This window comes from Homo sapiens, chromosome 9 (assembly GCF_000001405.40).
Source record: "Homo sapiens chromosome 9, GRCh38.p14 Primary Assembly".
Lineage (NCBI taxonomy): Eukaryota > Metazoa > Chordata > Mammalia > Primates > Hominidae > Homo > Homo sapiens.
Window position 1 is genome coordinate 8,432,157 of NC_000009.12, and position 15,747 is coordinate 8,447,903.

Consider the following 15,747-nt stretch of genomic DNA (forward strand, 5'->3'; position numbering starts at 1 on the left):
TGGACTTTAACAGCCATACCAACTTTAAGGAGGACTTTCTTCCCTGCATTCCAGATGCCATTCTCAAATTGAGACTACTTAAATTCCAGCAGGACTTTTCAGTTTCATCTCAGAAAATGGACATCTAAAGTGTTTATAAAGACCTGCAGAGATGGGGTTACACTAATTTATCAAGTCCATTCTTCCAGCTTTCACTAAATTCACTGTTGGAGTTCAACGGCCTTTACAGTACAGGAAGTGTCTCATAGGATCTAATAATACTGTGCTACAATTTAACCTACTTCCTCGTATTCTGACCTCAGGATCAGTGCAAACAGCTTTCACGCCTTTAACCTGTTTTAGTCTTAGAATCAGAGTAAAAAAAAATTAGCTTCGTGCATCTTACAAGTTCTGAGTAAACATTTACTCACAGTGATTATGCCAAAATAATCAGGTGTTTGAAAGCAATGTGAGTTTTCTTTCCTCCATTTTCTTTGCTGAAAGCCAGTAAAAATCTATTCAAATTTATGTAGAAGATAATAAACAATTTTTCCCCACAAAATGTTGCTCTGAGCCTAAATTTTTATGTTGAGGTCTTAATCCTATTATCACAGTTGAATACAACACTTAAACATCTCCTTCATGCCGGTTAAGGCACAGTAGAGTCAATTCATGCCCAGGGAGCTTTAATCATGGATCATCATCATGAACATCAGTGAAGAGTCTATGTGGGCTATCAGGTCCACAGCTAAGCCTACTGGGGAAGCTGTGCATAGCAGCATTGCCAGCATGCAGTTCATAACTATTTTCAAGAAGCACTTCTGATCTAATGGCTAAATGAGGATCATTAAAGTATCTTTACATGTAGCATTTCTTGAAAATTCCACATTTAAAAGAGGCCAGTTATTGCATTCAATAGATGCAACTGAGATTGCTTGAGTGATGGTTTTATAGCCATGTGCTGCATAATGACATTTCAGTCCACAACAAACCACAAATAAGAGACTGATCCATAAAACTATAACAGATCTGAAGAAATTCCCATCACCTAGGGATGTGGTAGCTGTCGTAACGTCCTAGCACAGTGCATTACTCCTGTGGTTGCAGAGATGTTGGTGTAATTAAACTTATTCTGCTACCAGTCACATAAAAGTCAGGCACATACAATTAGGTACAGTACATAATATTTAATAAGTGAATATGTTACTAGTTTATGTGTTTACTACAGTATACATTTTATTGTTATTTTAAAATGCACTCCTTTTATTAAAATAAAAAGAACTTTAAAACAGCCTTAGGTAGGTCCTTCAAGAGTTATCCAGAAGAAGGCATTATCATCATAGGAGATGACAGCTCCAGGCTGTCACCCTGAAGACATTCCAGTGGACAAAACGTGAAGGCAGAAGACAGTGATATTGATGATTCTGACTCTGTGTAGGCCTAGATTAATGCATGTCTTTGCAACTTAGTTTTTAATCAAAAATTCTAAAAAGTTAATATAATTTAAATAGAAAAACGCTTATAAAATAAGGATATAAAGAAAAAATGTTTTTGTATAGCTGTACAGTGTGCTTGTGTTTTAAGCTAAGTGATATCAAAAGAGAGTCAAAAAGTTTAAAAATTTTATAAAGTAGTTACAGTAAGCTAAGGTTAATCTACTATTGAAATAAACTTTTAAAATAAATTTGGTATAGCTTAAGTTTATAGTGTTTATAAAGTCTACAGTAGTATACAGTAACGTCCTAGGCCTCCACATTCACTCACTACTCTCACTGACACCCAGAGCAACTAAAAGTCTTGCAAGCTCCATTCATGCTAAGTGTCCTACATAGGGGCACCATTTGTTTGTTTGCTTGTTTGTTTGTTTGTTTGTTTCACTCTTGTCACCCAGGCTGGAGTGCAATGGTGCGACCCTTGGCTCACTGCAACCTCTGCCTCCCAGGTTCAAGCGATTTTCCTGCCTCAGCCTCCCAAGTGGCTGGGATTACAGGCACACGCCACCACGCCTGGCTAATTTTGTATTTTTAGTAGAGACGGGGTTTCACCATGTTGACCAGGCTGATCCCGAACTCCTGAACTCAGGTGATCCACCTGCTTTGGCCTCCAAAATGCTGGGATTACACAAGTGAGCCACTGCGCCCAGCCTAAAAATCTTTTTTACAGTATTTTTTACCTTACCTTTTCTTTGTTTAAACACACAAATAGTTGGGTATAGTAACTTGCTGTAAAGGATTGTAGCCTAGAAGCAATGGGCTATACCATATAGCTTAAGTGTATAATAGACTATACTATCTAGGTTTGCTATACTCCACGATGTTTACACAGTGACAAAATCACCCAAGAACACATTTCTCCAAAGGTATCCCTGTCATCAAGTGGTGCATGACTATATTATTGCCCATGGTTTAAAGTTATATTGGTGGAGAGTGAATTAACGGCTTACTAACAGGTCGAGCTATCATATTTCCGTAATTTGTAACCCATTACATAACTTATAATCAAAAATAAATAATTAAAGCAGGGCTATGAAAAAATATCACATGGCAAAATAATAAGAATCATATAACAATAAAAAGTAGGTTGGAGTGATGAAAGATTTCTGGTTCATAAAAATTGACATAACTAAGAGTTTTTTATGGTGCCCCAGGTGCTATTTATGATTTGCCTTATTTTCTCTAAACTCACTATGGAGCCCTAAGCCCTAAATTAGAAACTATAGAAAGTGTTTTAAAGGATACTGCATAATTTTAAAGGAGCTATTCTGATCAAGAGGAAGAGCAGGAAAGAAATAAGCTGCGACCATTTGAGAAAAGAAGACAACGTGCAATCCGGTGTGAATTTTCCTAGCATTGAAAATGTTCTCCTGAATGCTTGGAGCAGAATAAAGGAAGATATAACTTCACCAAGAGGCAAGGAAACAAACAAAATCTTTGCATCCTATCAAATATGTGACAAAGATGCTGCAGTATGCAAACTGAATGAAACGTGGTCTGGCTCTTGAGGGTGGAGGTGAATGAGACTACAGATATGTTTTGGTTTTCCAGCACAGTAACTTAAAATAATGAACATTTGAATATTTGAAGATTTTGGGAAGGCCATGCCACAGGCCTCACTGCTCTATGTTCTCTTACATGGAGCTTCTTCTTATTTTTGTGACCCCTCTAAGCCACTTGAGGTTGGGGGTCCTCTTAGAGGTTACTACAGAATGTGACAGGGTAGAATGTTAGCGCTGGTAGGTCCAGTGCAACTGCCCCAATTAAGGCTGATACAACAGATACCAAGAGGTAACAGGATGTGTTAACGACTCCCAGTAAGTAAATCAATAGAAACCCCGATGGTGAAATTTGGGCTGCCCAGGTACCCAATAACCTTTTATTATTTGGTATATCTACAAGATTTTAGTTGTACATTTTAATCTTATGTTAAAACTGGTCTAGAAAAAACAATTATCGTCCAGTTATCAACAATGCATTAATTGGCTTCATTAAGGGTCCTTGTTGCTGGAGAATACCAGAAATACCCAGTTTTATAACTTTTTGATTGATATATACCACAATATCCAAATACACACACACACACACACACACACACACACGCACGCACGTGCATACACACAGGCTTTTAATTTACCTCCATCAAGAATTCACAAAGAATCTTTAAGGATTCTGGAATTTTAAGATAGCATTCAGCGCACCATTCCTTCAAAAACAAGCAACTCTCTGAAAATACATTTCTATCTTAATATTAGCTCTAGCATTAATTTAGATTGAAGGATAAGATAATATACACATACTCAATAATTACAGAGTTTTCATGGCTTATAAAACCAAGAGTCTTGAGAAATGTACTTAATCTTCGTAATCTTTCTTTCTAGATGAGGATTCTTATCACAAATCAGTGTATTTGGCACCTATTTGGTATGCTGGAAAGCTTATCAATTTAGTATATTCTAGGAACTGAAAAATCAGAAGACAAATACTGCATGATCTCATTTATATGTGAAATCCAAAGAAGTCAAACTCATAGCAGTAGATAATAGAGTGGTGATTACCAATGGAGGGCTGGCAAAAGGGGAGATGTTGATCAGTTTTAGCTAGATGGCAGGAATAAGCTTTAGCGATCTATTGCACAGAATGGTGACTATAATTAATAATAATGCATAATATGTAAATATATACAATTATTGCCAATTAAAAATAAAATAAAAATAAAAAACAGAAAATTCATAATCTCAGCAAGTAATATTGAACAAACATAAAATTAACTTTTTCAAACTGTAATTACTATATTGCTTGTGCAGACACTTTTAAGTTGACGGTTCATTATACATTTTTATATCATATTTGAGTCATATTTAAAGGGAAAAGCACTGATGAAGTTAATTTTCAAGAATATGGTCAAAAAAAGAGAAGAGTAACTCTTGAAATTACTGTAAAGAATAAACACAGTGAATTACCTCATATTCCTGGGAAAACTTCAAGTTGTCATTTGCTTTCAATCTTTCAATGTGGTCTGCAAGTTCCAAGATGGGTATTGGAGGATGGCTAGCCATACCTATTGAAAAAAGCAAAGAAGAAACACATTTGAAAACAAATGAAAATGATGCTAACTATTCCAAAATATAGAGAATACTATAGTTAGAAATGGCCTGAAAATATGTGAGTAGTAAAGATGTTTTAGGTGAGGAAGCAGGCAAATAGTTTGGTTACTCAAAGCAGGACATGCTCTGGGAAGATGAATTTTGTAGCCAAATGAAAAGTCACCAAGCATAATCTCCAAACTAACACTCCTAGTGTAAAAGAAAGCGTTATTGTGCTATGAATCAATAAGGTTAGCTAGTGGAAAAAACTGACAGTCAGGCTTGATGTCAACTTCTGCTTTGAGTAATGACTTTTATGCCATTTCAAACTCCTTCTCCTGCACTGTGTGAAATGGAAATTGTGTGGAATTAAATGGTGTAAAGTGAAATAAGAAAACAGACACTGAGAAAGGCCTAAAAGGGAAAGAGTAGTAGCTTGATAGTAAACATAAAATGACTTATGCATAATCAAGGAAAACTAACTTGAAGAATGAAGGTTACCAGGGTAACCGGAATCATCTGAACCTGCAAAGGAAATGATGGTGTAAATAAAATAAAATAGAACAAATTCTTCAAAAAAAAATGAAATGGAAAGCCTGATATATTTTTTAAAAGGACTAATTAAAATGCTGCAAGTTTTTACAGAATTCACTATACATTGTGGCTAGTACAATGTGACTACTACATTAAGATCGCTAATATTTCACAAACCTGTAGGTGACTGACATTCACATGCAAACACAGACACAAAGAATGACATGCACCACGACTCACTGACGATAATCACTGACGGCACAATCAGACACCAAACTGAGCTTCAAAAATGTTTCCACTAGTAGCAGATTGTAGAGGTTGGGGTTGCAGCCTTCTCCTGGACATTTATAAATGGCCACACTAACAACTCTGTGATATTTTGCCCCAGGTCCCCATTATTCAACCCCCAGCAAACCTACAATCTACTTCAGGTGTAAACATCTTTGTCCACTAATGAGAAATGGATTCAGGGAAGTGAGCAAATGGTGAAAAGACAGGAGGGAAAGAGGGTGAAGAAAGAAGGAAAGCAGAGATGGGGTGACACATTCTAGTTCATTCAGCCAGCGGAAGATATAGTAATTTCATAGATTCCATGAAAAATAATCCACTATTAATTTTGGTGACTCCTGTGTCTTTCTGATGTTTTCTCACTTTTCATATGATTTGTCTTTTATTTCTTTCCTATTAATTTTACAGAAGTATCATGAAAGAGCATTGCTGACTCTTATCTTACAGATATAAATTCCAGCTGGCTACAAAAACCTGAACTAGCATGTCCCCAGGGAAGCCACTGAAGCAGGAAAAGAATGAGGGAGGAGCTCAAACTGGAAGCCATGTGTTGACATTCTGCTGTCACTGTGGCTCTTTGGAGGAAGGCTACAGAATGATGGCCATTGAGTCAACATGACATGTGACTACTTTAAGAGCATTTTAGGAATTATACCATTGTTAAAAGTCACCCAGTAAGTTCCTTTATCTCAAATGCCAAATTATTAATGGTTCTGGTAAGTTAAGTAAAAAGCTACCCTGCTTTTTGAAGACAACCACTTTAGCAAGTGTTGTGAATTGTGGTGGTTTAGTTTTTATGGCTATGAAGGTCTGCTTCCAGTCAGCTAAAATTTTAGTGGAGAGCCAATAAAACTGAATTGCTTGCAAGTAGAAACTCTTTGTTGGTGATATAATAATGCCTTTGGAACAAAATTTTGGAACCCTTTCTGAAACTTTTCTGTATTAATGATAGAACTGAAATAATTTACATTCTATGGAGGAAGTGTGAGGGTGACAGTGATCTGATAATTACGTGATCTTATCCAGATGAGGCACCCCCAACGAAAAGAATGGAAATGCAAAGGCATAGGTGACTTTAGGCTTATCTGGAAATGGAAATGGACTGATGTGGACATCATTACAGTGCTTTCACAGAGAAAATAATAGAGACAAAGATGTTTAGACCTTTTCGAGCGGATCGTGGGAGAGAGTTATTATCATATATGGACTGAGTGGTGGTTTGGCTAGAGAGGGAGGACACAGAGCCAATCAGGGAGGCGTAGGGGACTGAATTACTGCTCAAAGCTGCAAAAAGTAAAGCCAGTTGGAGACGGGAAAAGTATTAGTATAACAGCAGTAGAAGACCATAATAATAACCAAAGATGTGATCAACATATTTACTTGTGGCATGCACTGGCACATGGTCTGGAAGTATTATATTGGAAGTTTATTAAAGAAAAATTCAAGCAGACCTACATTGAGTCATTATATTCCACATCAGAATATATATACATATATGTATCACATGCAAGATATCACAGCATTAAAGAATCGCTACATAAAACTTATCATTGGATACCATATTGCACTCCATTTCTAAGACAAGTAAAAATGGCAGATGGATGTTTCACAGAAAAGGGAGGAGAATCTGTGTGAATCCAATGGTACAGGAGAAAGAACCCTGGCTTAGAATACTGGACATGGGTTCTACTTCTGGTTTTGGCATCTACTAATAGGGACAAATCACCTTTTGTGAAGCGCCTTGATTTCTTTAACTGTTAAAATAAGAGTATAGAACTAGATAAATTCAAGAGCCATTCTCTTCTTCATAACTTTCATTCTTCCCACATATAGACAGAACTTCTGAACAGAGAAGGGTCTATTGGTGCATATGTAAGGGTTCTAAAAGTTATCGTACCTTTTCTTTGAAGGGAGAGAGTACTTACTTTTTACAAAATGGAAAACTAGTATGCAGTTGAATTGTTTATTTTTTGAACTATTTAAGTTTGTTGCTATTTTCTTTCATTAGCCAAAATGTATACACAGTCTATTATGATGTTATATCATATATCAGAAAAGACCGAATGTCGGCATAAAAATAATCATCAAGAGTAAAACTCCTCTAAGTTGAAACTGTTTAGCTCATATCAGAAAACAATGACCAAGGATCTACTTCAAAATATTGTTACACAATTCTGCAGAAACATCTCCGCTGCCCAATATTGAAAAAAAATGTTATATGATATAAACAAATATGTTAGATTTTGAATGAAAAGGTAGACACTAAGAAAACTATGAATTTGACCTCACTGTGGTACCTTTTCAATGTTTTGTCTGGCAACCTGACCACTGCTCAGTCTATAAACCAAAGTCTTTACTACATCAGATTTTACACATTTAAATTACTTGATGTGCTTTAATTTTTTTTTTTTTTTTTTTTTTTTTTTTTTTGCAGGCTGTACACCAGACCAATTAATTCAGGTCTGTGGATGTGGGAGCTATATATTGATATTTTTAAAGTTCCTCAGCACTGGCTCTTAGTCCTATAGGATTCATGATGGGGGGCCTATAACTCCATTTATTCCTTTTTTTCCCATTTAGAAATCATATCAGGATTTATGAGAATGAGATGAGCTTTCTCTTGGTGATATTCTTGAATCCTCTCTAACACCCCATTAGCAAGCTTTAGTACTCAGCTATTATTGGCAGCAAAGAACTTGAAGCACAGCTAACAAACAGGGAGGGCTTGCCAGTGTCATGACCTCATCAGTTAGAAGCTACAAATGTACAATAGAAATGTATTATTTTTTTTTTTTTTGAGATGTAGTCTCACTCTGTTGCCCAGGCTGGAGTGCAGTGGTGCAATCTCGGCTCACTGTAAGCTCTACCTCCCGGGTTCAAGTGGTTCCCCTGCCTCAGCCTCCTGAGCAGCGGGATTACAGGGACGCGCCACCACACCCGGCTAATTTTTATATTTTTAGTAGAGATGGGGTTTCACCATGTTGGTCAGGCTGGTCTCAAACTCCTGACCTCATGATCCGCCTGCCTCGGGCTCCCAAAGTGCTGGGATTACAGGCGTGGGCCGCTGCGCCCGACCCATAAATGCATTTTAAAGGCACGCATCAAATCTGTTAAGACTTTTTATTTTGAAGCTATGATCTCCACAATATAGAGTCAACATGAAAAATGACAGATGCGGTCACTGAAATCTGCCTTAGGTTGGAGGAAAAAACAAGATGGCTCCCTTTAATAGGGTACATATTGGTGAGACTGATGTCACGGTGACTTCCTTATAAGAAGTAAACTTTAAAATCATGGCATTTTAACCTGAGAGGCACCTTAGAGATGACTTAGTCCAGCACTTTCACTTTATACAAGAGGACTCAAATCCAGAAAAGTTAGATGACTTCTCTACATAAGCCCAGACAGTAAATAACAACATCTCAACATGCAGCTTGGGCATCTTTCTACTGTACTATTCCGAGAACGGCATTTGCGATCTTCTAAATGAAGTGGGGGGCAAAGTCTCCACAGATGGAATGGGCTAGGCTGGTAAGATAAATGACTGAAGAGGGCTAAGTATCATATAGTCAACATTTTCACACACAGAAAATACGCTCATTCCCATTTCCTCACAATGAGCAGGTTTCCAGGGCTGGCTTTTGTGTCTCTACTTTGAACAGAGACTCCAGAAAGAACAGTAATTCTTTACTATGTGAAAAACAGCCATAAGCGTGACATAAATGGCAACTAACGCTCAGTCTCAATGTCACTCATCTTTAGGGCTAGTGTACACATTGGGGGGCTTCTGAAAAGGGTGAAATTATTCAGCTCCAGGACTTGCTCTGCCAAGTGGGAATGCAAGGCCAATCGGTTCAGACTGTTCAGGTTTTCAACAGCCACTCAAAATCCAGAGTATCGTGTGGCATTTCCTCAGTTTTCAATGTTGACTCAAAATTTTGTTGAAACTCAGTCCATGTCAAACGATAAGCTCTTTTGCAGACCACATACGGCTAACTAGATTATGGCCTTTGTTTTAAAAGAACAAAACCTTCTTTAATCTGTGTGTATGTGAATTAGAATCAAGGAGTGTTGGGAGTGACAGACTGCATGCTTGTATCCACAAGGCAATGGACTAGATACTGCTTTGTGCTGGGGATATAAAGAAGTATGCTTCTTGCATGGTTCATCCCCTATGGGTTCATCTACCTCCCCTTCTCTCTAACCTGATCCCCCATTATCTCTACCAATTAGAAAAATGAAGCCCAGAGGAGTTAAAGAACTCGATCAAAGTCATCATTATCAGCAGAACTGTAGCTACATGAGGAATCTGATCCCATACCCCGTACACTCTCATTTAGCACATTTCACATGACGCCATGCTGTCTTTCCAACCATTTAACACCCCTGGACAAGTGGTGACATGTACATAAAGCTGGGTCTTTAAGACTGTTTGGGCTCTCTATGCAGCAAGACAGAGATCATAAACCATCCTCAGTTTGTGAAAAAGTGTCAATACAGGGCCTTAACCTAGGTCATCTGTTTCAGTGGTGGGGAAGAGGAAAAGGGGATGCAAAAACACGTCTGTATTTTCCAGTTATTTCTTGCCAAAATATCCTAAGTTTCCAAGAAAACATGAACTAAAGGTATTAATTTAAAATGTTAAAAACTGGAATGCTATTTGGCAGAATATTTCTTAGAAGCTAATTTATGGTATTTTTGCTTTTCAAAAGTCCTGCTCTGTTTTACTAAGTCAGTAAGGCTACTGAATGCTTCAAATGATTTTATTATCCATAGAAAAATATTTATCAAACACTTGCTCTATTTTCATATTTTTAAACCTTGCATTAAATGCCAATAGGCACTATATAACTATTCTGCTAAGTAGAGTTTTTGAAGTCATTAATAACGGTGGTACATCTTTTACATGATTTTTTTCTGTCACTATATACGTGTGTTTGTAATGACTCAGTAACAGTCTCTTCATGATTTTCCTTACTGATAAATTGTGATAAAGGCTGGAGAACAGTTTGTGCTTATGGACCAAAGAGAAGCTAATTTTTTCATCAAATCAATTACCACAGTCTTAACAAAAGTAGACTTCTATGAGTTAACAGCCAGAAAGAGAAAATTCATTCATTAAATATTTGTCATATTTTTGACATAATGTATGCACTATTTAGAATTCCCTGAATCAAATACAAATACTCTGCTATATTTGTTATTTGTATCACAAACTAATGATAAATTAAAGATAAAGAGAATATTGATTTGTAAGCTTCCTGATACAACCATAATGACAATTAGATTTAATTTGTGACTGGGGATCATCATTAAATGAAAGAGTCACCAACAGTGCTTTTCTGGGTAAGCAATGAATGGCATAATTAAAATTCAAAATTTTTACTTCATTCCAGGAGTTTCTGTCCAGCCTGGGCAACAGAGGAAGACCCCGTTTCTGCAACAAAAATTTTTTTAAATGAACCGGGCATTGTGGCACATGCCTGTGGTCCCAGCTACTTGGGAGGTTGAGGTGGGTGGATTACTTAAGCGTGGAATGTTGAGGCTACAGTAAGCTATGATTGTGCCACTGCACTCGAGCCTGGACAACAGAGCAAGATCCTGCCTCAAAACATTTTAAAAAATTTTTGTAAAATTCAATTCTAATGGAGAGTTTCTCAAAATACAGAATTTGAACAAGCTGTTTCTTTATATCAGAAATTTCAGAAAATAAAACAGAAAGGACACATCCGGTATTCTTAACCTAGGTCATATGCCTAAATTCCTTACTGTATAAAATAAAATATGAATGTATGAAGAAAGTATATATAAAAATGGATCTTGTTAGCATTGATCCAATTAATAGTATTAATAGATCAGAAGAGACAGCTCAAGAGCTTTTTAAAGCTTATTCAGTTGCTGTGCAGACATTTCTGCTGCTGATACCACTATTTCTGATCCGTTAACTTTTTATGAGTTTGTTTCTGTTTTCACAGCCCATCAATCACCTACCATCCATGTATGCTTTAGGGCAAAACATATTAAGGTCATCCACTGAATGAAAATGAGGTCTTTGTGTTGTAACATCTGATCATCGAGTTTTAAATCTCTTTTCCTAAAAGGTGCAAGCATAAACACTATAGTTTTGGTTTTGTTTGCAGGTATTTTTGGGCCAGGGAGGAGGTATGAACAGGGACAGCAGACACTTTAATATTGAATATGCAGGCAGAGGGGAAGGTAATGATTGGTGCACCACCAATGCTACCAGTAGCATCTTCTCTTACAACTTTCTTTGTACTGAAAAGAAAGTGAATTTCTCTAAGATCCTCAACCTCTAAATTTTCTTTGCTGGGAAAAAGAAGAAAAATGAACACATATTAGTAATTTGTTTGGTTTTCTTATATATCACCATCTTTTAATAATATTATGTTTATTTTCATCATTTTGCCCAATTCTAAAGGCCATGGGCCAGAGGGTGTCAAACCTTCAGTAAAGGATTTTTACAGTATTTTGAAAAGTCTGTAATTGGGTCTCTCTATCAAAATGGTAAATGTGCCTACCCTAGGACCCTGCTATCATATTTCCAGGTGTCTGACATGCAGAAATAGCAATGATGGTGTCAAAATATATGGGCTCAGTAATGCTCATTACAGTAGTATCTGTAATAGCAAAACATGAGTAATAACCTAGCCTCCATTAATAGGGAATGAGTTAATACATTTTGATATCTATAGAACTGACTACCATCATTGTCATTATCTGTTAAAAAGAAGACATAATACACTCACTTGAAAAAAGTCCATTTTTATATAGTTAAATGTCACAACAGCAAATTGTGTGTGTATACATACATGACATACACACAGACATCCCTACCTACTCTATATTATATCATTTAAATAACTACATACACAAATTAATTCTGGAAAGGTATATATGAAACTCTATATGGCAGATATTTCTGGAGACTTAATTGGAGTAATGACACAAAATATTTTAATTTTAATTTTAAATATGTCAAATAAAAAAGAAAAAAAAGTGGTGGAATGAAGAGTAATTTTTCTTCTCTAAAAGTGCTTTTGTTGGACCGTTTCCCACCATATAATTATAAAAATTTTCAAACGTACACAAAATTAAAGAGTAACATAATGAACACCTAAATGGTCACAATCTATATGCAATGATTGTTAACAAGCTTATTTTCTATTTTCCAAAATTTCCCCAATAAACATGTTGCTTTTGAAATTAAAAAGATGTTCTGGGACGGAGAGACTAAAGTAATTTGGAAATTGTTTATAAAAGAAAGAAAGAGAAAACTTTCCTTGCAAATGGGGCTAACACAGTTCATCTTTGTTTAACAAGCAACATATCTATTCACCCATCCTAGTGCGCACCCAGTTACTGCTGTCTACAGAGATGTATGGAGCTTAATGGACATTTCCTTTAAATGCATCTTTTATAAGTGAATATTTTCTTCCCTTCTTCCATAGATCTTAAAGACTTGTAAAACTTGATCAGCAGTTAATAATTCCAGTAAACTCCTCTACTACGTCACCTCTCTCTTTTACTTATTTTGCCCATCTTATTCCACTATCTGTTAGAATTAATAAGTCAAATCTTAGCTAAATGATACCTTCCTATATACTTAAGTCCCCATTTTAACTTGGTAGTTATTGGTGATACAACTGATGTTACTTAAATTGCCTTTTTCACACTAATTCTGGCTGACCTTGTACACTAATAATGATTTATTGTTTAAATCATTATTCTCTTAAATGATTAGGTAGCTCATGTTGTCTCAAATATAACTTGGCTATACACTGCCATCTGAACCACAATAAGACAGACACTTACAATCAATCATGCAAAATACTTACAAGCTGAGGTGCCTGCTTTCAATTGTGAAAGCATGGGCTTCCCCGACCTGTTCAGGTGTTTACATACAGTGTTTCACAGACTGACAGGATATTTTTTTTCATTTTAAAGTATACTTTAATAATGAAAGTGTACAAGCACAAAAAATGATAAATGTTCCCGTATATTTGTCCAGACTTACCATGTGAACACATCACTTAAGTAATAGATTGGTCCTAACACTATGCAGCATCCTGGGATCCTATCAGACTGTTTATCCTGAATCTAGTCCTATTCCTAGAAAAACTACCATTTAGGGGGAGAAAAAAAATTTATTCAACAATTCCATATTGTCTCTGATGCAGCAATCGGTTAAGTCACAATTACATTATGCTCAATAAGAGAAAAATAAAATAGTTTTTCAGAAGGGGCTGGGTTGGTGATTCTTTTTTCACTCATCTTAATGCTAAAAAAGACCAAGAACTTTGTTGCCACTAACGAACTAGTGGGCTTCAGCCCTGAAGTACCTCTAGCTGCCAGCACCATCAGTGACTTCAGAATGAGAAGATACAGCAACTCCTTAAGGTGCTCTGTACAGATTCAAGTCCAAGCTACTTCTTTGGAAGGCTCTCAGCAGTGTCAGAGAGTGACTTGATTCTTGTCTAAAAGTTTGAAAATGTGCTAAAGCAATGTTCCTCTCCACACTCTCCAACCTCACAAGGATGGTTATACTGACAAAAAAGCAGGTTTCTCTGTCTTTTCTTTGTGCCTTAGCTGAGCAACGGTGGATGGAAATCTAACTTTTTCTGATCCAACTATGTTTGTGGTACTGCATTTAAGGGTACAGTTCTTTGACGTACTTAGATTGTTGGAATGCTATATTTATATGAAATGGGGAATATCGGGCAGAATTAAGGAAAAAAGATCTGACTTCTTAAATCTCGATTCTCCAAAAGAATAAATAACTTAGAATGTAAATCAATCTTTCATTCACAAGATGACTTTTTTGAGAAAGTAGAATTTATAGAATCACTGAACTAAGCAATGTGCTTTCTTTACCTTCTGAAAGGCCTACTGAATTTCAAATCGTAATGTTTGTTTGCTATTTTATCATTCATAACAGACCCATCAGAAGCAGAAATCAATTTGCCTTTGGGAACAAATTCTGTACTAGGTACTGGTTATATAAATCACAGGCATCTTATTTCATTGAAAGACATTTTTTGAACAGAAGGTGTGGATTACTAATTCTCTACTTATGTATATTATTAATAAATATTCTCAAGCGTTATAATGTTTGGGGATAAGCAATTATACATTCATAGTAGATATATTAAAAAGCCACATTTCAGAGAGTGAAATGTAAATAATTTAAAAACCTAAAAATTAGCGTCATAGCACCTGTCATGCAACACCTAATGAAGGATTATTTTATTTCATTATCCAAGAAAACCCTTGATTCTTCGTGAAAAAGAGGAGAAGAACAACCACAAAAGGGTTACTGGGTTAACAACCCCACATTCTGCTCTCATCCTATTGGCAAGTAATTATGGTAATTAACAGCCGCTGGCTAAAATCTATGCAGGCTGAAGCAAATGGTCACATCTCTATGAATTTCATATTAACAGCGGAGTCTATTTCCTTTGTAAAATGGTAAAAATGTTCCAGACAGCAGGCCACAACATAGAGCTTGGATGGCAAATAAACAATTTCAGCAAATCAAGCTTAAGTGAATTGCTTACCTGAGCTAAAGGGCATAATGTACTGCTTCCTGAGTGAACAGATGTGCTAGGACCTTAGGACAATTTCTCCTTTTCTAGTCTCCTCCTCTACTACAGCTCCTCTCTTATCTCATTTTGTCTACTACAGCTCCTCTCTTATCTCATTTTGTCTACTTTATTCCCTTATTCATTTGAGGTGATAAGTCTAACTTTAGTTAAATGACACCTTCCTTTATACTCAGGTCCCCATTTTAATTTTGTAAAGTCATTGGTGATACAAGAGATGTTACAATTGTAACATTCATTCTTCTTTCTGGTATCTTACCTAAAATTTAACAGATTCTCTCTATAAATGGATATAATATTCCCAAATACATTGGGAAAATTAAATTGCTAATAGAATTCTTGAGTTTGGCCATATTTGCAAAATTACATCTGAAAGTGAGAAGTACTTGCAGACAGAAGTCTCCTGGTTGAAGACATTCCTATTCTCTTACCTGCAGTCACCAGCACCTCTTAATCATTCTCTCTACACAGTTCCCATTCTTGCTTTGTGTTTATTCCCGGAAACATTTTCTGTTGGTGCGAGAGGAGGTGAGGTGTAGCAGCACTCTCACTGGCTCCCTTCTTTTGGGGGTACCCTTGCCTTTCTGCTCAACCTTATACTGTGTTTCTGCCTCCGGTGGAAGACCAAGGTTGGTTCCAGCACAAATGACATTTATGTGAAAAACAGAGGAAGGAGGGGCAGTGGAGAGCTAGCAGCAAGGTACTGAGAAATCTGATCCGTTTTTCTATTTCCACAACATGTTGCTC

General features: G+C 36.4%; 1 protein-coding gene across 55 annotated transcripts in view; it reads right to left on the reverse strand.

Annotated features, from left to right (window-relative positions):
• The window catches only part of PTPRD (protein tyrosine phosphatase receptor type D), a 2,298,757-nt gene that overhangs the window by 117,911 nt on the left and 2,165,099 nt on the right, over positions 1-15,747 (reverse strand). For 30 of the 55 annotated variants that reach the window (XM_017014961.3, XM_047423649.1, XM_047423651.1 and 27 more), the window contains 2 exons: positions 5,042-5,083; positions 4,436-4,533 (listed from right to left, as the gene is read on the reverse strand). In XM_017014961.3, coding sequence (XP_016870450.1) covers positions 4,436-4,533; positions 5,042-5,083 — 140 coding nt within the window. The remainder of the gene's footprint in view (positions 1-4,435; positions 4,534-5,041; positions 5,084-15,747) is intronic. The other 25 variants (NM_002839.4, XM_006716827.5, XM_047423657.1 and 22 more) reach the window with 1 other exon arrangement.